Below are 27,853 nucleotides of genomic sequence, written 5' to 3'. Positions count from 1 at the left end.
AGGAATACCATTTGACCCAGCAATCCCATTATTGAGTATATACCCAAATGAATAGAAATCATTATATTATAAAGATACCTGCACGTGTATGTTCATTGCAGCACTATTCACAATAGCAAAGACTTGGAATCAACCCAAATGCCCATCAATGATAGATTGGATAAAGAAATTTCAATCCAGATCTAACTGGCTTATGAGGGTGATTGAATGAATTAGAATAGTGGGAACACAGAATCACTTTTAAAATTATATTGTTTCTGCTGGAAGCTATTCTAAAGGAGGTAAAACCTGAGATGATCCTGAAAGTCATTTAAAATTTATATTGATGGAGAGAAGGAGGGACAGGAGGAAAAAACAACACCAGTCTAGCCCAGCTTTGGAAAAGTAAATGGATTTCTTCTGCACTTTAGCAGTGATCCGTCTTCCCGTGGCCAATGATTTCAAAGACTGGTGAATAATGTGAGATGAATATTTCACTTAATATTCATTGTTGCTAATCATGTTTTGGAAGGAGAGCAGAATGGATTTGAAAGATATTAAGCTCTCCAGGTTGAACCTGAACAAATCTGAGAAAGCCACAGGATAAACGAAAGAATCTGGGAGACATTTCTTTCTGTATTCTTAATGAATAAATGCAAAAAGAAAAAATAATTTTTCTATTCCAGTGAAATGCAGGGAGCCTCAATTGAAGGACACTAATATTCATCATTCTGTCAGGGCAGCTGCATTTCCACACCTTGCAGCTCATCTCACCCAATTGCAAACAGAAATGTTTGTGGTAAATACTAGAAACAACTCACATTACTGAACAATAAAGTGCCTTGTTCACAAAACATAATTGCAATAAGTGTCAAGAGATGGGTAATACAACAGCTGTGAAAGGCTAGAAGTGATAAAAGTTTGGAGTCCAAATCTTGGCATTCAGTGCATCAATTATTTGTTTCCATTAGTAATAAAATGAAGGAAGCTGCCCACATGGATCTTTCAAGAGGAAAGAAAGCCAGCAACCATCAGGATCTGCCTCAGGTCTGTTTTGTAGCGGTGGATAAATCACTTATGTTTCTATCTCAGAAAATAAACCTGTTTTCAAGGTGGCTACTTGGCATTACCCATGATGGACATCTTACCAAAAAGAACAAAAAGAAATTTTGACAAAGACAAATGCTGTATTTTCGGTTGTTGGTTTTATTTTGTACAGAAAAGAAAAATGTTAAATTGTTCTCTAAACTAAGTCATAAGGTGTAATTCCCTGTGGATGAACACACATACCTTCACATCTTGAGTTCCTCCACAGTGGTGACTCTCCTAATAATTTTCGTAGGATGGTACAATGGTGCTCCACACTGGTAAATATATTTTAAGCACTCACTAAAAATAAGACAAATTAAATTTTTTTCCCAGTGAAGAATGACCTTTGGCATGTTATTTATTTCTCACTTTCTATTTTCTTATCCATAAAATGCAGATAATGATAATCTAGCAAATAGAGATATGAGGAGGATTAAAGGAATTAATATTTGTAAAGTATTTGGTACATATCAGAGGAATCTGAGAACTTCTAGTTTCTTTTCTATTTCACATACTGTTTGTGCTCCACAATAAATAATTACAGTATTGCATAAATGAATCATATCACTGTTTTCCTACCTGTATTTTATTCATGCATAGTTTTTACTTCTGTTTTTTTTCTTTTTTAATTTACCTGTTGCCATCAAGGAAGGTCCTTCTCCCCTTTTCATTAAATGGCTCACTCATCTTTGTTCTTTAACGATAAGCTCAAGAAATTCCTTTCTTTAGAAAAATAAACCGTTGTGCTTAGGCTTATTTATAGCTTCCTTCTTTGCGTCCCCACAGAACTTTGGGGTTACTTCTCCTAAGACCCTCATCACAATGCATATTAATCTGTTGTATGTGTCTTCTGTTTCACCAATCAAAGTGAACATACTGATTTCCAAATAATTAACGATCTTGGCGGGGTCTTCAAATTACTAGCTACTGATTTAAACATAAGAATTTCTTTCTGGTATATTTGGACATAGAAAGTAGAAGAGATTCTGTGGAACGTATATTTAGCTCAAAGCATATATCTATCCGTTATTATTAAAGAAAAAATCTTTGTATTACTATTATTTTAGTAATAATTATTTAGTATTTATATTTATTATTACTGTATTTGATTTTTAAAAAGAAATTTTATTTAGAGATACAAAAACTGAAAAGTTTACTGTTGAAATGATTTTAGAGATTGAATTTATTTAAAAATAAATTGTTACATTATTCACTCCACTTGTGCGTATGTCTAGAATTTTCTATAATAAAAATATACAAATAATTATAACATTTCTCTTAATTTGATTTTTTATATGTCAATTTGTCTCAATTTTAAGTGTGTCCTAAAAGATTAATTGCTTTCAAAGTGAATGGATTTCAATTGTTCCTGTAAGGCTATATGTAGGTTTAAATGTTACTTTAAAAATCACCATTTTTCTAAAAAATATTCTATAAAATCTATAAATAAAAAAGATACTCTATAAATGATGTTTGTGTTACTTTACCTAAAAAAGGACATAGGCATAGATTTCTATCTACTACCATATACAAAAATAAATTCATTGTGAATAAAATCAATAAATACAAATAACAAAAACGTGAAGGTATAATTTTTTAAAAAATCTGAATTTTATATAACTTTTTTAAGAAGCTCAGTTTAGAATTCATAAACGACATCATTAATTTGACCCACATGAATTAAAAACAAAACAAATTCTCAAACTCATTCGGAGATGAAATGACATCATAAACAAGTTTAAAAGAACACTGGCAAACAAGGAAAAGTATTTGAAAAGGGCATCCAAATAGGAAGAGAGGAAGTTAAACTATCCCTGTTTGCACATGACATGCTCTTATATCTAGCAAACCTCATCGTCTCAGCCTAAAAGTTTCTTAAGCTGATTAACAACTTCAGCAAACTCTCAGGATACAGAATCAGTGTGCAAAAATTATTAGCATTCCTATACACCAACAACAGTCAAGCTGAGAGACAAATCATGGACAAAGTTCCATTCACAATTGCAAAAAAATGAATAAAATATCTAGGAATATACCTAAATAGGGTGGCAAAATATATTTACAAGGAGAACTATAAGCCACTGCTTAAAGAAATCAGAGATAACACAAACAAATGGAAAAACATTCCATGCTCATGAATAGAAATAATCAATATTGTTAAAATGCCCAGACTGCCCAAGACAACTTATAGATTCAATGTTATTCCTATTAAACTACCATAGACATTCTTCACAGAACTAGGAAAAAAACTATTTTAAAATTCACATGGAACCAAAACAGAGCCCAAATAGCCAAGGCAATCCTAAGCAAAAGAACAAAGCTGTAGACATCATGCAACCAACTTCAAACTATACTACAGGACTACAGTAACCAAAACATCATGGCACTGGTATGGAAACAATGATTTCCTATTCAATAAGTGGTGCTGGGTGAACTGGCTAGCCATATGCAGAAGATTAAAACTGGACCCCTTCCTAACACCATATACAAAAATTAACTCAAGATGGATTAAAGACTTAAATGTAAAACTCAAAACTATAAAAACTCTGAAGACAACCTAGGCAATATCATTCAGGACATAGACATGGGTAAAGATTTCCTGATGAAGACACCAAAAACAATTACAACAAAGCAAAAATTGACAAATGGGATCTAAAAGAGCTTCTGCACAGCAAAAGAAGCTGTCAACAGAGTAAACAGACAACCTATAGAATGGAAAAAAATTTTTCAGTCTACCTATCTCACAAAGGTCAAATATCCAGCATCTATAAGGAACTTAAACATGTTTGCAAGATAAAAACAACCCCATTAAAAAGTGGGCAAAGGACACGAACAGAAACTTTTCAAAAGTAGACATGCACACAGCCAACAATCAAACAAAGAAAAGCTCAACATCACTGATCATTAGAAAATGCAAATCAAAACCACAACGAGATGCCATCTCACACCAGTCAGAATGGCTATTATTTAAAAGTCAAAAAATAACAGATGCTGGCGAGGTTGTAGAGAAAAAGAATTGCTTATACACTGTTGATGAGAGTGTAAATTAGTTCAGCCATTGTGGAAGACAGGGTGATGATTGCTCAGAGAACTAAAGACAGAAATACCATTCAACCCAGCAATCCCATTACTGGATATATACCTTAAAAAATATAAATCGTTCTGTTTTAAAGGCATGTGCATGCATATGTTCATTGCAGCACTATTCACAATAGCAAAGACATGAAATCAGCCTCAATGCTCATCAATGATAGGCTAGATAAAGAAAACATGGTACATATGTACCATGGAATACTATGCAACCATAAAGAAAAAGCGAGATCATGTCCTTTGCAGGAACATGTATGGACCTGGAGGCCATTATCCTTAGTAAACTAGAGCAAGAACAGAAAACTAAATACCGCATGTTCTCACTTATAAGTGGAAGCTAAATGATGAGACTATATAGACACATAGAGGAGAACAACACACACTGAGGCTTGTAGGAGGGTGGAGGGTGCGAGGAGTGAGAAGATTAGGAAAAATAACCAATGGTTACTAGGCTTAATACTATATATTTGAGACAGGGTCTAGCTCTGTGGCTCAAGCTGGAGTTCAGTGGCATGATCATAGCTCACTGCAGCCTTGATCTCCTGTGCTCAAGTGATTCTCTCACCTCAGGCTCCCAAGTAGTGGGAACTACAAGTGTGCGCCACCATGCGTAGCTAATTTTTTAATTGGTGATAGAGATGGGGTTTTGCTATGTTGCCTAGGCTAGTCTCAAACTCATAGCCTCAAGTGATTCTCTCACCTCTGCCTCTCAACATGTTGGGATTATGGGCCTGAGCCACGGCACCAAGCCAAAATTATATTTTTATATCTGAGACATTATATATTTTGATATTTATTTTTTATAACAGCATTTACAATACTCTTGAGAAAGTTGTAGGTGGAGAAGAGGTAATACTCAAGCAATAGCTCAAATCATAAAAGTGTAATTTATATAAATAATACGTATATAATATATAAATTGCAATTTATTTCTAGGTGGATATTGGCAAATTTACACATGGTAATAGAATTTTCCTTGTGTGTCACTGAAACAGCCATGTAAACATATTTAAACTAATGTGTTGGTAGTCTGCCATTGTAGAAGGAGGCACAGAATATTCTGACACAAGATCTCACACAACAACAAAATGTTGAGGTAGTAAAACAATAAATGTGAAAAGAATAATTATAAGTAGCATAGGGCAACATTTCTTGAAAAGCTAGATGTCTTTTTATATTGAGTTTTTTAATGTAATTCTTTTCAATGTTTGGAACATGTGGACAACACAGAGGACCCTAGCGGACTCTTGTTGGAATGTGAGAAAGTTTGAATCTCTCTCCATCTTCCATCAACTTCTACATAAATAAGTAAAAGAGAATGTGTAAGAGTAGATATGTGTGGAAATCTCAAAGAGAGTTTTATTTTCTCAAAGAGGACAAAATCCTTGTGATAAAGAAGGCAGGCTAATATTTAAGCAATTCAATTGAATTCTATATAACCTGACAGTCAGGGATCACCACAAGTGAAATTAGGTAGAGGGAAGAGAGTAGAATTAGATCAAGTGGGCAAAGTCTAAAATAGAAAGTTCTCTGATTTAAAGTGATAATCAATGACAATATTTTACAAATGCATTTCTGTTCATGCTGGGGCTTTGAGTAGAAGGCGATTTCTATCTGTAAAGGGAATTGTGTTATTTGTGAATCTAAGCCTTGCTGTTGGAAACTTTCATTTCAGTATCCATCCTAAGGGAACAAAAGTCTAGGGCATTTGCATTGTTTTAATGATGCTTACATCTTTACTGGAGAAGCCTATGACTTCCAGGGGAAGAGATGAGGATTAAGGCTAAACCGCATCCGTATTCATTGTCAAGTAGATCTAGGGAAACCATAAGCATTGTGTTTACCACAAGGGACTATCTGCAGCCGAAGTGCAGTTTAGCAGGCAGTTTTACTTAGGAAATCATGTTACAACGATCTCTGACTGTATTATGTTTGAGGAAAAAAACAGTAACCTGAAATAGTATAGAAGTGTAGTAAGAGGAGATACATCGCATACTTATAACTTATGACTTTAGAAAGTTTAGTTTTATGCATGTATAAAGCGGAGACAGTATCTGCCATATTAGAAATCTCATCTCTCTCTACTGTATTAACATCTTCCCACAATTTGGTCATGATAACTAACAATTGATCTTTATAGAGTGCTTATACTGTGTTAAGAAGCATTTTTTTGGTGTTTTAGATGTATTAAGTTTTTAAATCCTTATAACAATTTTATGAGGCTAATACGATAATCCAGATTTTACAGATTAAGAAATCAAGACACAGAGAATTCGTAGCTTGCTCAAATTTATACAACTAAGTGTCAAAAGCTGTTCCATGAACCCAGACCATCTGTTTCCAGATTAGTACTCGTAACTCTCATGATATCCTGATTCATGGGATATTTCTGATTCCTATAACTAAGCCTGTCTTCTTAAATTTGTATAGCTTTGCGCTTGGACCTAGGTCTGCCTGGAATGTCTTTAGTCGCATCTCAAGATTCTCCACAGAAAAGAGTATTTCCCTGATTTCTCCCACCCCAAGTTTCGCCGTGCTGCTATGGAAATCAGTGTTAACCTAAATTATTCTATAACTCAATTCCTTTTTCCTACTTTCTTGTTTTTCCAGCAAATTTGAAAATCTCAAGGGCAGAGACAACTGTAATTCCTCATTAAATATTTTCTGCCAAGATCGCGCCATTACACTCCAGCCTGGGCAACGAGAGTGAAACTCTGACACACACACACACACACACACACACACACACACACACACACACACACGAAGAAAGGAAAACAAATATTTTCTGCATCTAAACAGTAACATGCAGGGATAAAATGAGATAATCTGCTAAAACTGTTTTGTGAACCACAAAGTACCACGCAAATGTTCCATATTATGACTATGCATCAATAAGGCACTCAGAATGTTCTCTATATGGAAAAGGAAATAGTAAAATCATGCAAACAAAGCGGTATAACAGTGCAAGCACTGCCAATTTATACATGCCTGATAAAATAGAAACATTAATTTTACTGAATGACATATTAAGTGGAGGAGTCTTCTGTTAGTGAATATCATGATGTGGCATCAGAGGGTGACAAAGAAGAGTGATCATACATCCCATATTCATTTGGCAAAATTCAGCTTCCAAGGACAGGTGAATTAATCACTAACATCTTTGTTTAAAATGGCAATAAGGTAGAAAGACTCTGAAAGTCAGCTTAGAAGAGAATGTAATTGGTTCACGGAATTAGAGACCCTCTTCGTACTATTTGTTTCCCCTTTTAGAAGGTTATGACAGCCTTTCAATGTGGATAGTAATGTTTACCTCATTGAATTCTTGTGTAGATCCAAAGGTAGCTATGCATGTTAAGTTGCACATCAACACCTGTGTTACAGGTACTTAATAAATTTAAATTTTATCTAACCTCTAACCCCTGTTTTCTTTATATCTGTAGTTATCTATACTAGCAGATCCTTTTTAACATTTTGGTTTTAAGTGACTACAAATTGTAGACCTAGTTTAAAATAGAATTTCCTTTAAAAGTCTTCTTAATCCTATTTCTATAGATATACTAAATGTAATACATGATGATAGTTACCTAAGTTATGATTACAGTTACTCTCAGTAAGTGTTTAAATCTATGGTGGTTTAATTTGTTAGTAATCGATGTACCATAGCATTGTCCAAGAACAATAGAAATTAACTATTCATTGTTAGATACAAGTACTGATTTCCCATGACTGCAAATCAGACAAAAGAGAGTAGTGAAAAAATAAAATAGACTGAGGAAGGCAGAGATTATTTTAGAACAATTTTCACTTCCAATTTTAATAGGATATTTGAATTGTTATATAGTATAAACACTATACTTAAACATAATTTAGCACTTATGTTGAATACAGTCCAGGTTGCTCATTGAAATGTGGATTAGATAACATGCCTGGAGTGATTCATATTATGGTTTCATCAAGGCTCAGAGACTAGGAGTGGAGAGAGAGAAAACGTTGAGAATATAAAGCAGGACTTCTAATATTTATTCACCTTCATATGCATCTTCACAGGTATCAGGGTATATATTAATTTTTCCCATTTTTGTACATGAGGAAATAGGTTTAGAGAAGAATTAACACCTTGGGCCAAGTCACATAGAAATAAGGAAAGTTTAAGAAAACTTTTGAGACAGTGAAATGTTCATAATGATAACACTTAGCATCTATTAAATATCAGAACTGACCTAGAAACTCAGAATATAAAAGTTAGGCAAATAAAGTTCTTCATTTCATAGAATTCAAATTCATCCAGGGATGAGGGGCAATAAAGAAGTCAGCAAATAATGACTCCTGTACCTTTCAGAATAATGAGTAGGGGCATAAATAAAACTGGAAAAGGTATAGATCATGATGAGAAAAGCACTTATATTTTAGAGAGTTGTTATAAAAAGCCTTTCTGAGATGTGAGATTTGAATATTATCCAATGGCTGTGCAAGGAGAAAGTTATGAGAAGCCCCAGGTATAGGTGTTTTAGGTTGAGGCCCTTGGCAGAAATGAGCTTGGCAAGTTCCAAAATTTGCAAGACTTGTTTAGTGGGACCAGAATGAGCAAGTAGAGGAATGGTGAAACCTGAGCTCATAGAAAAAGGCAACAGTGAAATCATACTGGCAGGGGATGGAAAATTTGCAAGGACTATGTGCAGTTTGCACCAGGAATTGAAATAATCTCATTTTTGTTTTTAAAAATGAAAGAAGTATCAGATATCACAATCATTTGATATACCTTAGATTTCAGTAATTCTTTGATTGGTCATTATCTAATTTCTGGTCCTATAAGAAAGGGATGACACACCCTTAAACAGATATTCAATGAATGGAATGATTACAGGAGTGTGAATAGCGTTAGGAGAAAAAAGGTGTGACAAATCTTCATTTTTTTTTCTTAATATTAGTACTTGGTGGGTCTGTCTTTATTTGTGTTACCATAGATTTCTGTTAACTATTGCTGTTGACATGAAAATATGAAAAATCCCCCCAGTGTTTTGAATAGGGTTCAGCTATTTATTTGCTCTCACATTGCAGTTTCTGTTATGCAATTAGTAGCAAGCATTTGGACCAATACAGTAACCCTGTTCTCTGTCTCTTAGTTTAATGGCATGAGGAGCCCCACATGAACATGATAATGTCCCATGGCCATATTCTCAGATTGAGGTATTTTTCCATTTGTGTGCAAGGTTTCTAAGTTTACTGAAACAAATGATGAAGGGACAGGGAGCAAAATTTTCTCAACAGCATTATTACGTGGAATAATGCCAAGAGTCACTTCCATTTCCACATTTTAACTCCTGGACACATATATTCTAGCTGCAGTGGAGACTTCACCTTATGTTATTCACTTGACTAGGGCATATACTATATCATATAATTAAACACCACACATTTGCAGAATTTTTTCTTCCAGCCATTGCTCTTAAGTTTTCAGCAGGTGATTGCACGGTTCTGTCAAAAGAGTGCTTCAATGGTGATGGGGTTGAGATGGGAAAAATAAGCCAACACTTCAAATCTCAAGTGAGTGCATCAATGTTGACAATTAAAAAAATACAATTTCATCCATAGGCTCATGATTTTTCTGAGGCAAATTGGCATAATCATATAATTTTTGTGGTTGTTGTTATACAGGTTAACTCCTATAAACCAGGCCTTTTTACTGTGCCTGCTCTGCTAGCATCTAGCTTTCTATATGAGCTCAGAGGTCATAAAGGGAGAGAGCAGTATGTTTTCTTTAGCAGGGAAGTTCAACTAAATTTAGATATTTAAAGTCCTTTTTCTTGTCTGTATTGGCTCAAATATCCCCATTGGTATATTTCAGAGTCTCAGTCCTTCCCTTACCCTACAAGAAAGCTGGAGGGATTGAACATTTAATTGATTCTGCAGTTCTATAACCCTTATATTCAGACCCAGACAATGATCCACAACCATTAAAACTGGCTAATACCTTTCCTTCCTATCCTAAATTGAGCATTAAAAGTTTTCACTTTGTCTATTACTCTATATAGCCTCTAATTTTGTCAGAAGCATCAGACCAAAGCACAATTTCTCCTTCATCACCACTGTCACCATACTAAGTTGCCAAAGGTACTCTAACTCCTACAACTTCTCCATTTACTTTACTTTCCATACTGCTATCACTGTACATTTTATAAGCATGATGTTCTAAGTCATATATTACCAGGGTCCCATTTGCTCTGACCGGAAGGGTATCTATGCATTTTTGAAATATATGAACAATCCAATTCCATATTTAAATTATAAAAATATATTTCTTGGGTCTACTCCTGGTATCAATGTATCAGAACTCTGGCAAGAAAATACGTGCAAGCTCAAAAGGGGTGATTAAATCTAGTTTAATAAAAGGACAATTACGAGAATGTTGGCAAAGTGAAAGAAAACCAGTAAGGGTTGGTGAAGCACCCTGGGGTGAGTAGCAGAGTTAAGCAACTATGTACCTTCGCTTTTAATGGGACAGAGGAGAGAGCAGTCACTAGAACCTGACAGGAAGCTTATGGTATAAATAAGAATCACCAGTCAAGAGAGAAGATCTTTAATAGAAAAACTCATTGACTGTACTCTTACAGCCCAGAAGGGTGGGAACCTCTCATTTTATCCCACTCTCCAGTTTCCTGCTGGTGCTTACCATTTATCAAAATCAAACAGCAATCAGAGAACAAGGAAACCATGAAAGTAACACTTCTTGGACAATCTTGGGATGCAGAGGAAGGTGGAGAGTATGATAAATACATCTAGGAGAACTAACAAAATATACAGAGTACAATCATGAAGAACAAACAAAATATACAGAGTACAATCATTTTCCCCTTCTGTGCATAATACTTGGCAATGTCCGTGAAAAGCCTATGATGCTATAGTAGGTGAAGCTTCAGCTAGTGAGAACCAGGGTAAATAATTCTCATTTGCTCTCAAACTCTGAAACTTAACGTTTAGGTGTTTCTTTCTAGGAACCATGTAGCACCAGCCCCAGTTTCACATGCATCCTGTGAGAGCTGTTCTGCAGTAAGATAAGGAGGATTTAGAGACATTTGTCAGGGACAGCATTGTGTTACTGATTTCTCAGAAAACAATCAGGGAAGATGCGCATTAAAATTACATCATTTCACTGAAATTGCTCTGGCTTTGGTAACTCCTATATAGGCTGCAATTTGAAATGAACTGTCTGAGACGAAGCTCCATAGAATCCCTTATTATCCCAGTCTCTTTTCTTTGCTATCTATAATATAACAGAGTAAAGATAAAAAGAACAGGCTTGGGTGTAATTCACTTTAGGAAACACATTTTTTTATCTATTATTTATCATTATTGCCTGGTTAGAAAATTAAGCATGATTCTCAAAGACATTCTCAAGCAACTTTCTATAATATACTAAGGGAATAAAAAAATCTAAAATCATTTATTCTGTATCTATCATATGGCTAGTACTGTTGAAGTCTGACTTAAAAAAAAAACAACAACAGAACTATTATGTATTTCCCTTTCAATGATAATTAACTGATACCATCACACACAGAATGTAGATATAGCAGCTCTAATTGCTGATGTGGGACATTGGACATCAAAATTGAACCAATGTTGTTGTTTTTTTTTTTTTTTACAAAAAACTCTATCTCTTCCAATTTGATATTGTTTCAAAGGTGTGGCATTTATATTTCTGTGTGTTGATATACAGAGAGTAACTATAAGTCATATGTGTATCTTAAATACATATTAAGGAATCATATTTAGATAAGTTATACATTTGAACCAATTTAGAGAAAAATATCAAATAGTAGCACAGCTAGTATGCAGATAACTTTATGGATGAGTCATGTAAATGACTAAACTTTGGAAAATATTACCTGTGAAAAGCTGCTTTCTAGGGAAAACGTGGATTACAATTCTATATATATGGTGGGACCAATTAGAAAAAATTGGTTTCTGTCTGAGTTTTAGCATCTAACTTTGTTAGGCACAAATGTGATGTCAATAATAACTTACTAAATGATGAACAATTATTAGATGTAAAGTTTACTTTTCAGCGGAATGGAATTATAATTTCATAAGCATATGCAAATAAAATATGATATATCATTATTCTAGATTGTGGAGAACAGTATTCTTTGAATTACCAAAGAGGTTACCTCTTCCTAATTCTATTAAATTACACACTAGCATTCAGACGTGACAGACAGTAAAAATAGAAAATAATATGAAATAGATGTGAGCAAAAGCAACAAAACTGGGCATTGACTGATCAGCCAGTTTATTATTTAGAAGTTACTTGGTTTGATTGTGGTGGAAACCCAAACTAAACATAGATTGTATAAAAAAGTGAATATTTTCAATTACATGTGAAAATTCCAGGGCAGCATGATCCAGGGTACTAAACAATGGCATTCCCAGACCTAGGCACTGTGTTGTCTTTACTTTCAGGACCCATAAAAATGACTTCCAGCATCTGCAGTTTATGTTATCCTTACTGTCATTAGTTTCACAGGAAAAGAAAATCCTTATTCATGATAACTCCTTTTTAAATCTTGGAGTTCACTTTGATCAAATCAACTTGGGTAAAGGAACGTATCTGAAACAATTTCTTTGGCTAGGGATTCGGGATTATGCTGGATATCCACAAGTTGGTCACATTGTTTCCCCTTCCCTCCATGCTCACTGTAATTTGTGGATAGACTTTCACTGAACCAGATGAAATTAAAGTTAGGAGCAGGGTTGCACCCTGTAAGAAGGTCGGTATACTATTGCTTTGACAAAGTGGGATGGATTCTAGTTTACAAGACAAAAGAAAAGTAAAAAGTCTCTCACAACCATAGGTATGACCAGCAACATATACCTGAGTTACTTCCCTGTGGTACCTTCTGTGAGATGGTTTTTATGCATATTTTAAAGTACTGACTAAGCAATTTACATTTTCTATTCAATGAGTTTAAGATTGCACATAATTTTTTTCCCCAAAAAGACTGTAAACTGCATGCTTCCATCACCTTGCTGGCAGAACTCTATGATTTTAGATAATAGCTGGCAAGGAGAATGCAAAAACAGAGATTGCTGACCCAGAGCAAAGATGGTGCACAGTATTTCAAAAAGAAGAATTGGCTTTCAAAACAATCAAAGAATAATGACTCAGGAAGTAAACAATTTACTTTGAACAAGGGCAGAAGCATTGTACAATACTTGGTTATCAGACCTAAGCGAAAACCAAGGTATTCAATGAAAACAGCAGAGAAAAAAAAAAAAAAAACATAAAAACAACATGAGGCAGAAACAGGAAGATCCAATCTAGCTCATAACTATCCTCAGCTACCCAGGTTCAGGGTCATTGCCTTTTCTAAAGGGAGGAGAAAAAAGAGTAATATTAAAATTCATTGCAAAGCTTGTATTTATTATATTAAATTGTACATAGTGAGGTAGATGAATGTAATTAGTTTGCGTTAATACAGTATGGGCTCAATAGGCCCAGAAAACAATGAAAAAGTGTGGTCCTTATTCAAAAATGCTTATAGATTTCAAAAACATTAAAGCAAGTATGGTGTCCTATAAGTACAGAACCTTGTGCAACTGTATATGAAGCTGTATCTGAGGCCCAATCATTATTAAAATTTATTTGCCATTCTCATGCAGTCCAAAGTGACAGAATCTAAACAGTTACCTGCATTTGATGCCCAGAGCCTAATCACTTAAGTAACATTTCTTTTTCTGGACAAATTATCCTATATAGGACCACCAGTATTATGTTGAATAAAAGTGTCAACAATGGGCATTTTTGCCTTGTTTCTGAATATAGAGAAAAATCTTTCAGTCTTTCTCCACTGACTATAATGTCAGCTGCGGACTTTTCATATGTGACAATTATTGTGTTGTGTTGTGTACTGTTGGTGAGAATGTAAATTGGTGCAGCCACTATGGAAAACAGTATGAAGTTTCCTTAAAAAACTAAAAATAGAACCACCACATGATCCAACAAACCCACTTCTGGGCATATAGCCAAAGGAATTGAAATCAGGGTTGTAAAGCAATCTGCACTCCTATGTTTATTGCAGCATTATCCACAATAGCTAAGATGTGGAGCAACCTAAATGTTAATTGACACATGAATGAAAAAAGAAAATGTGGCATATACATACAATAGTATATTTTTCAGCCTTAAAAATAGGAGGAAATCCTGTCATTTGTGACAATGTGGATGAACTTGGAGGACATTTTGCTAAATGAAATAAATAAAACATAGAAGAACAAGTAATACTTCCACTTACATGAGGATTTTAAGGCAGTCAAATTCATAGAAGCAGAGAGTGGCAAGGGCTGGGAGGAGGGAGAAACCTGGAGATGTTTGTCAAAAGGCATAAAGTTTCAGTTATGCAAGATGAGTAGGTCTTAAAGATCTGCAGTAAAGTGTAGTGCCTGTACTTAACGATGTTACATTGTATACTTAAAAATGTACTAATAGGGAGACCTTATATTACATGTTCTTATCACAAAGCTAAAATAAGTAGGGCAGGAGGAAACTTTTGTAGGTGATGTATATGATCATGACATTGATTTTAATGATGGTTTTGCAAGTGTATACTTATCTCCAAATTGTACACATTAAATATATATAGTGTTTTGTCTGTCAATCACACTTCAATACAGTGGTTTAAAAAAAAAGAGAAAGTTTATTGAACAACTGGAACTTTGTCTTATAGTCATAGTCTATAAGATTAGAACACCAAATTATTCAAAGTTAACATTTATATAAGAAGCAATTGAACACTAAACATTCACAATAGGAGATACTACTATCCTTTGGCATTTCAATTATTTTATAGCTACCATTTATTGAAGCCATATATAGCTTCATAATCTTTTTCTTTTTATTTTTTGAGACAGAGTTTCACTCTGTTGCCCAGGCTGGAGTGCAATGGTGTGATCATGGCTCACTGGGACCTCAACCTCCTGGGCTCAAGCGATCCTCCCACCTCAGCCTCCTGAGTAGCTGGGACTACAGGCTTGCACCAACACTTCTGGCTAATTTTAAAAAATATTTTGTAGAGACAGGGTCTCCCTATGTTAGCCAGTCTGGTCTCACACTCCTGGGCTCAGGCAGTCCTCCTGCCTCAGCCTCCCAAAGTGCTAAGATTACAGGTGTGAGCCACTGTGTCCAGCCTAAATTTTAAAATATGCATTCACATGCCAGAAATAAATTTTATTTTCCTGATTATATGGTGAGGAACGTGAAACAATGATAGCTTCGGTAATTCACTTTTGGCCACGTAGATAGTACATTGGACTTTATAACCAGGACTACGTATCTCTAAAACCCTTGCTCTTATTTCATTATTCCTGTTGCCTGCTTGACTCTTTCCTTTCAAGACAGGAAAAAAGAAAGCTGTGTTAGTTACAAAAAGTTGATGAGGTCTACCATGTTTGAGAACAGAACTGGATGGGGGTACAGAGATGAGAGAGAACACATGGATTTTTCACAGATCGGTCATTCTTTGTGCACTGTTTGAGTGGAGCATTTTTCCTTTTACAGAGCAGCCACTTTCTCAAAACCATTCAGATTCTGGTTGGTAATTGATTCCTATCACAATATCATGGAATGGCTCAGGGATTAATGGGATAAAATCAGATTTGGAAAACCAAAACCTAAGAATAATAGCTAACATTAATTGGGCTCTTAAAAAATGGTCCCAGAACTTTACAAGTAGTGTCAAAACAGCCTTATAAATTGGTTCTATTGTTATCTGCATATTATATATAAAGGAGAAAACAGTGACAGAGAGAGGAAACATGATTTTCCAATATCATTTACTGAAGCTATGAGTCAACTTAGGTTTTACAGATTACGTATACTTAAATGATACTCTATTAAAAATATATATATATATATAATGTTTCTCCCTTTATCACATAAATATCATTGTATTTCAGATATTTAATATTCCTCTTCTCAAAAGGCTCCTGTCCAAAAATCTCTGTGTGATTTTTCAAGCCCAGCTTTAGATAATTTGAAAGGCTTTTCCCAGCAGGCAAAATGGGGAAAAGTTGCTGCTCCCACGCCAGATTTTGTGCAGAGGTCTAAGGAAAGTCATAGGCAAGTACTCAGGCCCCCTCTGTCTCATTCAGCTTTTAGGCATATTTGCATTCCTACCCCAGGTGCCTTCCTTCCTAAGTCCTTTTACTTGGAGTGTTTAGCTGAAATGTCCTTCGGCTATCTCTTCCAAAGCCTCCTTATGTGGGGAAGGGGAGAGAAAAACCTTGAAGATATATTTTCCACTCTTTCTCAGTACCTAGTACTTCTGCAGTCCTAGCCCTTCCCCCTTGCCCCTCTCCCCTGGCCCTCAGGATCCATAAAATTGAAGACCCCTTTGTTTGGAGATCCCTTGTCAGTGGGATGAGCCCCACATCTATGCCAGTCCACCTGACTCTTGAAATGCACGGGTTCCATGGAAAGAAATGACACAGAGTGGGGTTGGCACTTTCTCCAAGTTTCTCTTGTTTATATTATCACAGTAAGTGATGAGAGATTTCACTGTTATTTTTATTTTGGCTTATTGTTCCTCTGATACCTAACAACTCACTCTTGTTCCACCTCAGCTGAGTTCCTAACAAGAGTGATTTGTTTGTATTTTCTAACTTTTTGAAATATATTAAAAAATTGGATGAAACAGGCTTTCCCTTCTGATTTGGATTTAGAAACCCACTAGTGACTTTTATTCTTGTTCTTATGATCAAAACAAGGCATAAAAGCTAAAAACATTTCATAGTTAAAACAAGTCAGAGAGCTGAAGTGGTTAGACCCTCCCCTGAGTGCAAACTTAGCCACCCTCCAAAGTCAGAAAGCAAAGCAGGGGAGATGACTCCAACAGAGGTCCCTGGGATTTCAGAGACCATAAGTGTTTACAGAAACTTTCCTCCTCTAATTTCTTTTATACAAATATACAATTAAGAAAATAAATGGGCAAAGATACAAAGGACAAAAACCTGTTTTCATAACATATGTCTGTCAAGGAACTTATGTTAAAAATATTAAAAAAACTCTTAAAAATGAGCAAGAAAGAGACAATCCACCAAAAGAAAAAAGAAAGCAGGGAAAAGACTTGAATAATAGATATTTCATAAATGAAGACATACCTGTCGCATTTTTGCACATATAAAAGGTACTCAACCGGCTGGACGTGGTGGCTCACGCCTGTAATCCCAGCACTTTTGGAGGTCAAGGTGGGTGCATCATGTGGGGTCACGAATCCAAGACCAGCCTGGCCAATATGGCGAAACCCCATCTCTACTAAAAATACAAATAATAATAATAATAATAATAATAAGCCGGGTATGGTGGCATGCACCTGTAATCCCAGCTACTCAGGAGGCTGAGGTAAGATAACTGCTTGAACCTGGGAGGTGGAGGCTGCAGTGAGCCGAGATCATGCCACTGTACTCCAGCCTGGGTGACAAAGCAAGACTCCATCTCAAAATATAAATAAATAAATAAAATAAAATAAAATAAAAGTTCTTCACCTAAACAAGTCACCAGGGAAATCCAAGTTAAAACAACAAAAGTATATCACTTTAAAATTAATACACTAGCTAAAAAGATAAAATACTGATACTGCCAAGAATTAATGTGATATAGAATGACTGGAAGTTTCATTGGTCAGGTGAAGTGATAAAACTAAACTGCGGAACTGCTTGGCAGTTTCTTATAAAGTTAGTCATAAATCTACCTGAAGCCAACACTGTAGTAAAAAGAATTCTTGATAAGACAGAAAATGTGGATATCTTCCTCAAGTTGATTATGATTTATATTGTGGAAAAATTATTTACTCTTTTTCAATATTAATGCCCTCACTTTAATATTTGAGAGAAGTACCTTTAAAGATTTATAGAAGTTTTAAAATATGCATATAATTATATGTAACAGAGAAACAGAATGATTATGCAGATCACAGACTGCATCCTGAAGACCACAAACAGCCAAGACAGAGTGAGAACAAAAAAGGCAAATCTAATGACAAATTCTGTAGCCAAAGTTGGAAACAATATTTACATAATAGAATAGGTGGGTTTAACATCAGTCTGTACTGACTATTTTAATAGGCTACTAATTAAAAAATTGTAAGCTTGCTATGAATCCCCTCACTGGCCTTTTTTGCCTTGTTTATTGTGATTTCAGGCTTTCTAGTTCACAAGCAGGTGTCTAAAATGTGAGACTGAGACAGAAGGAGTTCTTATTTCTTCATGTTTTTTCCAAGACAGAAAGGGGAGTCCACAGTAAAAATGTGAAGTATTTGTTGGTTTTGAACAAGATCAGAAGAGAGGTGGAAGAAAAATTTGAGAAAAGGGGAAATGCTCCTGTTTCTGAGTTATTTCCTGTTGACTTTAAGATGTATGCCTTAGTACAGCACACAATAGAAGCTAAGAGTCATTTCAAAGGAAACAGAAAGGCAGAATTCTTCAAAATTAAATGATCTGGAGTTCTCTGGAGACTCTTTGCTTCTAATTTTATGTAAGACTCGTGTGTTCAACATTTCATTGGATTTCAAAATTATTTTATTATATGTTATCTGTTGGATGGAGACCCTAGGAGAACCCTGATATTCTCTACTGCAAGGCTGAGATGGCTTCATTGATTGGTTTTAATTTTTGTTGTTGTTTTTGAGACAGTCTCGCTCTGTTGCCCATGCTGGATTGCAGTGGAGTGATCTCGGCTCACTACAACCTCCATCGCCCAGTTTCAAGTGATTCTCCTGCCTCAGCCTCTAGAGTAGCTGGGATTACAGGCAGGCACACAACGCCCAGCTTTTGATTGTGTGTGTGTATTTTTAGTAGAGATGTGGTTTTGCCATGTTGACCAGGCTGGTTTCGAACTCTTGACCTCAAGTGATACACCCACTTCGGCCTCCCAAAGTGTAGGGATTACAGGCGTGAGCCACCGTGCCTGGCCTGGTTTAATACTTTTTTTCTTAAGGCTGTTAAAAATAGTTATTTTCTGATTTTTTAAAATAGATGTGTGTCTTGGTTCTTTTATAAATTACCCAGTACCTAAAATTGGGTAATTTATAAGGAAAAGAAAATTTTTTTGCAGAGTTATGGAGACTGAATAGATCAAGGGGCCATATCTGGTGTGGGCCTTTCCACCGGCTGGGACTCTGCAGAGTCCAGAGATGGCACGTGGCATCACATGGTGAGGGGGGCCGAGCATGCTAACATGCTTGCTTCAGTTTTATAAATTACATTAATGTATCTTTAAGTTCATTGATTTTTTTCTGCGATATCTAAACTTTTATAAATCCTATCCAATTGAATTTTTATTTCAGTGATTATATTTTTTCTCTTCTTTTTTTTTGTTTTTATGTTTTTTGAGACAGGGTCACGCTGTGTTGCCGAGGCTTAAGTGTGGTGGTGTGGCATGATCATGGCTCACTGAGGCCTCCACCTCCCAGGCTCAAGCAACCCTCCCACCTCAGACTCCCAAGTAGCTGGGAATAGAGAAATGTGCCACCACACCCACTTAATCTTTTTTTTTTTCTCCCAGAGAAGAGGTCTCTCTAAGTGGCCCAGGCTAGCTATTGTATTTTCATCTCTGGATATCCGTTTTATTTTTAAAAAATATGTCCTATTTCCCACCTCCATACGTCTGTGCTGTCTTTTAAGCTCTATGAAATGTTATGATAGCTCTTGCAATGCCTTCATTTCTGATTCGTAAATCTCTGCTATTTCTTTTTCCCCCTGTTGATTTACTTTTGTCCTGATTAAGGAGTATATTTTTCTGTTTCTTAGAATGGGTGGTAATTTTATATTAGATGCTTAATCTTATGATATCTAGAATTTATCTTCCATTAAATAATAAGTGTTTTGTCCTTACACTGTGTGTTTTTTTTTTTTTATTCAGTTTTGCTCTTTTGAGGTCTTTTTTTATGCTTTACAAAAAAAGGTTCAGAGATGTGTTACTCTAGGGGTAGTTTGTTCCTACTACAGAAGTATGATGCATTTGATGTCTCCATGAAATGCTAAAGGAATTTTTCAAATGCTCTCTATTCTGGCTGATCAGAGCAAGAATATCTCCCCACTATGAGTAAGCTCTTAAGAGTTGTTTAGCCCGGCTTTGTGAAGATGCACTTTATGTTTGCAGAGCCTCATACTTACCCGTGGTAAGAGATCAGAGAGACCTCTTCAAAGCTCTGCCCCAAAATTCTCAACCGTTTATTCTTCCTAAACTCTGGTTGCCTTCTCTTCAAGTCAGAAAGACCACCAACCCCTTTGGGTTACTCAACTTGTGCGTGTGCTGAGAAAATTGACTCCAGACAGAAAGTTTTTGGTAGGTTTTTGTCCCATTTGTAGTTGTTCACAGCATGAGGGTAATCTGACTCTTATTATTCCACTATGTCCAGAAGCATAAGGCCCTCAGTCATAACATTTTTAATATCTACTCTTTCACGCACACACACACTCACACACACTCACACACACATACCGTCAAAAATCTAAGAAAGTTGAAATTGCATTATTTATAAGCATTGCCACCATTTTCTCTTGGCCATTTTTATTTCAGGAAAGAATTTAAAATATTTTTAGTTTAATTTTCATTATAAAAGTGTTACTTGTTTCATTAAATTTAAAATATAATTTCTTTAGTGGTAATTGCAATTAATGGCATGAAGCCTTTAGGCCTCTAACACATTTAAAGTATTATGGTAAAAAAAAATGGAATGTTTTCTGCCTGATGATATCTGTTTGTACTCCCCCCCACCAATTATCTCTGGTCCTAAAGTCTTTTGAGAATGCCATAGCTTTCATTGTAATCCAGCTTCACAGAAACTATAAGCAGAGATGTAGGCATTGAAAAGAAATATGGTTTTGTTTTCCCTCCTTTTCTCCCTCTCTCTCTCTTTAATATTCTTTTCTACTCTCTTGTTAATATGATTTTCTATTCCAAAAAAAAATTAAAAAAGCAAAATTCATTCCTGTAAACCCTTCAGAAGTACAGGGTGGATTTCATACTGGACTTTAGGTATGTACAGAGTGTGACAGCAAATTACCACATGCTACTTATTTATCATTGTCACACATAATTAAAAAAATAATGCTCCATACTGAAAGAATCTCTAAACAACATCTTGTGTTTTCTTGGGTAAGAAACCCCCAAATAAGTCAGCTAGGACTTCCTCTGCAATGATTGGCTTCTGATATTTTAGAGGCAGCCTGGGAAGTAATCTTCTATTGATCTCAGACTATCAGGACTGCTTTTAACAACCATAAATAAGGGAGATGATATTTTAGTGAATAATAGTAAAAATACTAAAATCTAAAATAATTATGTTCACTTTACTTCAAAAAGGAATCTTCCTATCTTGTATAAAATGAGACCTCTATATATTTTTTCCTTAAAGTTCTTACATTGCCAAATCACATGTTCTTTTTTCCAAATTGACTTCAGGAGTTTCTGGAAGAATGAAACCGAACTGTAATTAGAGAGAAGAAAATTATCTTTCATTTAGAAATGCACATTGTTATTTGTTTTTATCTTTTAAGAATAAATTGAAAGAATTCTCTTATCCCAAAAGAAAATTGCTCTGATAATTTATCACTGCAGAACACATCTGTCATATTTATCCACATCTTTGTATTTCAATTGCCAAAGGCCTACTTTGGCTCCAATCATCAATTATTTGGCCTAGTGCCATAGGCCCCACATCTTCACTCTGCTTCAAATCTCCTGCCTCATTTGGCCCCAGTCATCAATTATTAGGCCTAGTATCATAGCCCCCGCCTCTTCACTCTGCTTCTGATCTTCTGCCTCATTTGGCCTCAATCATCAATTATTAGGCCTAGTACCATAGCCCCCACCTCTTCACTCTGCTTCTGACTTCCTGCCTCAGCCCAATATCTCCTACCACATTGCTGGCTACCTCCTCTCTTAATCACTGATCTAAATCCTGAAATTTATCAATTGGGAGGCCTGCTTAGTTACTCAGCATTTACAGGATCAAGTCCAAATATGGCCGTTTTACAATCTGGCTCGTCCACCCTCCAGCTTTTAATCAGTCCCATATATCCTATGCCCTATTCACAATTGAGTATTAGTGAATGACCTTCCTTACTTCCATGCTTCAGCCCTGAATTCAATTCTCTCACCTTAGAGTACACAAAGCAGAGTAAATTAAATTTGTAGAAGACACCCAAATGCAAAGCAAGCCAGTAAAATTGTTCTTTCCTCTATAAGTAGTGCTCTTTCTCAATCACTAACTTCAATTTTCCAGGATATATTACTGTGACATCTTGATTGGCTGAGGCAAATTATCTACAAAGTTTAGATTTACAGTCTGCATTTCTTTTCGTATTAGGGAACCAATGCTTATACATTTAAAATGTAGTGTGTTTTGCATTCATTTTCATTTTATTTACTTTTTTATTTGTATTTTTTTACAAATGCCTTATAAATGCTGTGTGACTACTTTCATCAACAACACTGTATGTTTTCACATTTTCTCTTGAAAGCAGAAGCATAATGCAATCTCTGCCATCATTAACTTATTATCATGGCTAACATATCTTGTGCACTTGCGAATCATTAAAATGTTAACATTAGGAGGTGAATTTTATTGTTTTATTGTATTTTATAAATGAGAAAACCAAAGCATAGGAACTCCAGGTTTGCCCAACAACACTGGTAAGTAATGAATTCAGGATTTGAACCTATGCTACGCTGCCCCAGTATGTTGAGTTTACATGCTTATTGTCTAAGTTAGGAGGCAGGGCAATAGCTGTTATGTTCTTTCATGTAAAATGTCTGAACTTAATCTTTCATATATAAATCATTGTGTATGTTTATATTATAATATACAGATGTACATATATGCTCTAAGTTGGTATAACTTCCATTAACTAGGAATTATTTTAATTCACTCTGTGACTAATTGCCTATTTTCATTCAGTTGTGAGTAAGGATAGTTTCTGTCAAATATTCAATATCTAATTTAGTGCATTCTACCTCATAGGCCTTCCATATATGTTTACTAACATATAAAAATGAAGAAACAAAAGTGTATACAGCTATAAAATGTCCTTATGCTAATATTCAGAAAGATTGAGACAAATTTTGTTTTTCAAGAATGTGTACATTCTGAAGTGTGTGTGTGTGTGTGAATTGAATGTGGTGTGTGTATAAGGGAATGCAGTCTCTAAAGTTAATGAAGACATATTCCTGCCCCCCCCAGAAGTTTGCTGTTCCGAATGAACTCATTGTCTATATGTCTACATATATATCTAATTACATCATCTATAATGTATCTATATAACATATTTGATAAATTGTCAGAAGTTTCAGTTAAACTAAGTATCACATGGAACAGGAGTATAGTTTAAAATAGTTTGCTATTATTACCTAGCTATGAACCCCTGGCATTTATTAAGTGTTTCCTATATGTTAAGACCTCTATATCCATTATCTCATTTGGTTAGTCCTATAAACAAATGAGGCTATATATACGCATTTTAGAGACAAATTATGTTGTTTACAAGGAATCCAGTATATAGTAATTTGTTATAGCAGTCCATACCATCTGAGATGACACTCTTCTTTCCAAACTTCTCATGCCGTTGCAAATCATGCTTAAGCTTGCTATGCCCATTAGACACTGTAAATTTTGAGACTCCTCAGATCCCTTCTATATAAGTGGAATGGCATTCCTATGCTCCATAAACTTTCATTTATTTCTTAGGCCCCCTGCCTACTGCTGAGGTCCCATCAATGAATCATTAAAAAACATAAATTTTTTATAGCATTAATACAATAGGCAGACTTGTGACCTTCTTGCCATTACTTGAACCCTATTGAAAATCAAATTTTCCCAGTTTATTCATACCACTAACATTTTATTGATACCAATTAGAGAATATACTCTGATTTTTGGCTGAAAAATCTGTGAGAAAATACTCAATGCTAATATACTACTTTCCTACATTTATATTTAAGTCCACAGTTTCCTTATTAAATTGATGTTTGGATAACTTATCCATTGTTGAAAGTGGGGTATTGAAGTCCCCTAATATTTTTATTTTGCTATTTCTCCTTTCAGTTCTATTTGATATTTGCTTAATATACTTAGGTGCTCCAATGTTGGATGCATATATGTTTATAATTGTTATATCTTCTTGATGAATTGACCCCTTTATAACTATATAATAACTTTGTTCCTTGTTATAGTATTTACTTAAGTCTATTTTGTCTGACGTAAATGTAGCTACTCTGTGTTTGTTGTGGTTTTCATTTTCATGAGGTTTCTTTTTTCTTCCCTTAACTTTCAGCCTATGTGTATCCTTAAGCTAAAAAGAGTCTCTTTTAAGGACACATTGTTGGTTCTTTGTTTTTAATTCATTCAGATACTCTATGTACTTTAATTGGATAATTTAATTCATATAATTTAATGTAATTGTCACTATGAAAGGACTTACTATTGCCACTTTGTTAATTGTTTTCCCACTGTTCTGTAGCTCCTTTCTGTCTTGTTGTCTTCCTTTGTGATTTAATAATTTTTTGTAGTGGTATGCTTTGATTTTATTACATTTATCTTTTGTGTATCTACTAGAGGTTTTTCTTTATGATTACTGTCAGACTCACAAACATAATCTTATATCAGTCTAATTACAGCTGATAATGACTGAACTTCAACTGCATACAGAAACCCGACACATTTACTTCTCTCCTCCACCTCACATTTTCCATTATTGATGTCCCAATAGCAACATTTTATATTGTATGTCCATTAACACTTTTGCAGTTATGATTGCTTTTTATCACATTTATAATTTAAATTTTATATTAGAGTTTAAAGTAATTTTTACATCCTTATTTTAGTGTTAGAGTATTCTGAATATGATAATATATTTACTTTTACCATTGAGCTTTATATTTTGAACTATTTTCATGTTACTAGTTAGAGTATTTTCATTTCAATTTGAAGAACTCCCTTTAGCATTTCTTGTGAGGGAAGTCTAGGTTATTTCCCTCAGATATGTACTTTGAGAAAGTATATGTCTCCCCTTCATTCATTCTTAAAGGATGGCTTTGCCAGGTATAGTATTCTTGGTTAGAAGTTATTTATTTATTTTTTTAAGCACAATGAATATATGATTCTACTGGCCTTCATAGTTTTTGCAAATATAGCCTTATTGGGGGTGATGGTTCTTTGTATGTAAGTTGCTTTTCTCTTGTTCCTTTCAAAATTCTTCCTCTGTCTTTGACATTTGAAAATTTGATTTAAATGTGTCTCGGTGTAATCTTCTTTGGGTTGAACTTAGTTGAGGACTTTAGAACTTCATGAAGCTTGATGTTCATATCCCTCTCAAGATTTGGGAGGAATATTTCAGATTTTTTTTTTAATTAAGCTTTCCATTTCTTTCGCTCTCTTCTTCTAGGATTCCCATGATTTGCATATTGTTTTGGTTGATGATGTTTTATAAATTTTACAGGCATTATTCACTCTTTTTTTATTTCGTTTTTTTCTCCTTTGACTGACTGATTTTAAAGGATCTGTCTTTGAGTTCACGGTTTCTTCTGTTTGATCAAGTGCACTGTTGAAGATCTCTGTTGCATTTTTTCATTTCATTCATTGGATTCTGTTTTTCATTTCATTCATTGCATTCTGTTCGGTTCTTTTTATGACCTCTATCTCTTTCTTGAATTGTATTGTTTCTTGTACTGTGGTAAGCTTCCTTAAAACAATTATTTTGAATTCTCTGTTAGGTAATTCATATATTCCAATTTCATTGAGATCTGTTACTGAAAAATTATTGTGTTCTCTTTGTGATGTCATTTGTGTTCTCTGAAGTCTTGGATTACTGTCTTGACATTTGAAGAAGTTACCTCCTCCTCCAGTCTTTACTGAATACCTTCAGAAGATAAAGACCTTCACCTCATATCATTAATTCCATCTGACATAACTGTGAGTCAGTCTGGCTAAGGATTCTAGGGGCACCTCAGACATTTTATGTCAATGTAACCCCTGCATTCTGTTTGCTCCTTGTTGGCAGTACTAAGTCTTAAGACTGTATCTTTGCTCTTGATCCCAAAAAGCCAAGTCGGATTTTAAGAGCATTGAGTTTATTTTCCCTAGGGTAGTGCTTTGACGTGCTCAAGGTTAAGCACCTTCTCCCAATCCAACAGTGTTGAGCTCCCTGTCCTTGTGACCTCATGTACAATCTGCAAAGTTTTACAGTGCCATTAGTGGAGGCACAAGTGGAGCACAGGCCACAGGGAAGGGAGGGATGTGCATCATGTTGGGAGCATGCATGGGCTAAGTAGTGGGCATCTACAAGTTATGCATCCTACTCAGATCAGGCATGGACCTCTTGGTGGAGTCTGACAAGCAGTTAGTAGAAACTGTGGAATTTTGTTGAGTTCCATATCCCTGTTGCTATGAGCTCCTGTCCTGTTTTCCTGCTCCTACCTGCCTGTACACTATCCAGCCACACAGATCTCCTCAGTGTTCTGCATGGGGTGGGAAAGTAATGGGACTCTTAGGCAGTGTCCTAACTGCTGGGGAGACAAGTGCCCACTACACTCTCACTCTCTGCCATGGGAAAAATCAAGTGCCCAGGGGGATTTCTCCACCTTGAGGTAGTGATAATGTGAGTAAAGTGAAAGTTATTACCTTCTTTAACGTGTGTATTCTCAGATGTTTTGCTCCAGTGGTATGCTGGGACCTTACCACTGGACTCCTGGCCTCCCAAAACGTACTGTCATCTATGGGTGGTTGTCAAAATCAGTGTTTTTTCTGTGAAAGAACAAGGGAATGAGGGTTGAAAACTCATATTCTATCACCTTACTGATGTCATCTCCACTGCTTGACTTATTTACTGAAATATTTTATGTGTATCTTAAGCCAAATATGCCAAAACCAAATTTGTGAGTTTCTGAACTCCAAATGCAAAAACTAAATAGCAATAAAAAATAAATGTACATCTCCTTCAATTGTCTACTCATGATTCAATTCAAAAATGAAACCTGATTATTTTTCTGTTTCTCAAGGCAAAAATCTTGGGTTGTTTCCTGATTATTTATTTCCCTTACACACCACATCCAAACCATAATAAAATATAATTATTGTGGTTTTAAGTACTTTCTAGAACATAACCAGCATTCCCTCATGTCCACTACTGCCACTTTCGTCTCAGCAACCATCACCTCTACCCTAGACAATTTTAATAGTTTTCCTAATATTCTCCCTGTTTTCATCCTTGCTCCTTTAGAGATAATTTTTTTTAGGCAGCAGTTAGAGAGATCCTTCGTAATAAGAAGCAGATTATGTTACACTTCTGAGAAAATTTTCTTCATGTCCTACAGGATAAAATATAAAGTCTTTAGTAGGATCTACAAGACATTGTAATCTTTCAGTTCACTATTTTTCTGGCCTCATTGTCTGCCACACTCCATCTAACTCATTTTGCGTCAGCATAACTGGACGCATTGTTATTGCTTGGAACCATCAATGTCCAGTAGAATTTTCTGCAATGATGGAAATGCACTGCCCAATGCAACTGATACTAATCACATGTAACTATTTTGTACATAAAATGTGTATACTGTCAGTAAGGAACTAAATTTTAATTTTAATTAATTTAACTGTAAATAGTCACATGTAGCTGGGGACTCTTTATTGGAGAGTTTAAT

General features: G+C 35.2%; 1 long non-coding RNA gene across 1 annotated transcript in view; it reads right to left on the bottom strand.

The window, feature by feature from the left end:
- LINC02699 (long intergenic non-protein coding RNA 2699) overlaps positions 1 to 27,853 on the bottom strand; it is a 470,852-nt gene that overhangs the window by 49,004 nt on the left and 393,995 nt on the right. Inside the window, exon 4 of the long non-coding RNA NR_183694.1 lies at positions 26,835 to 26,957. This is a non-coding gene — a long non-coding RNA (long intergenic non-protein coding RNA 2699). The remainder of the gene's footprint in view (positions 1 to 26,834; positions 26,958 to 27,853) is intronic.

Source organism: Homo sapiens, chromosome 11 (assembly GCF_000001405.40).
Source record: "Homo sapiens chromosome 11, GRCh38.p14 Primary Assembly".
Lineage (NCBI taxonomy): Eukaryota > Metazoa > Chordata > Mammalia > Primates > Hominidae > Homo > Homo sapiens.
This window is presented reverse-complemented; position numbering and strand designations above follow the sequence as displayed.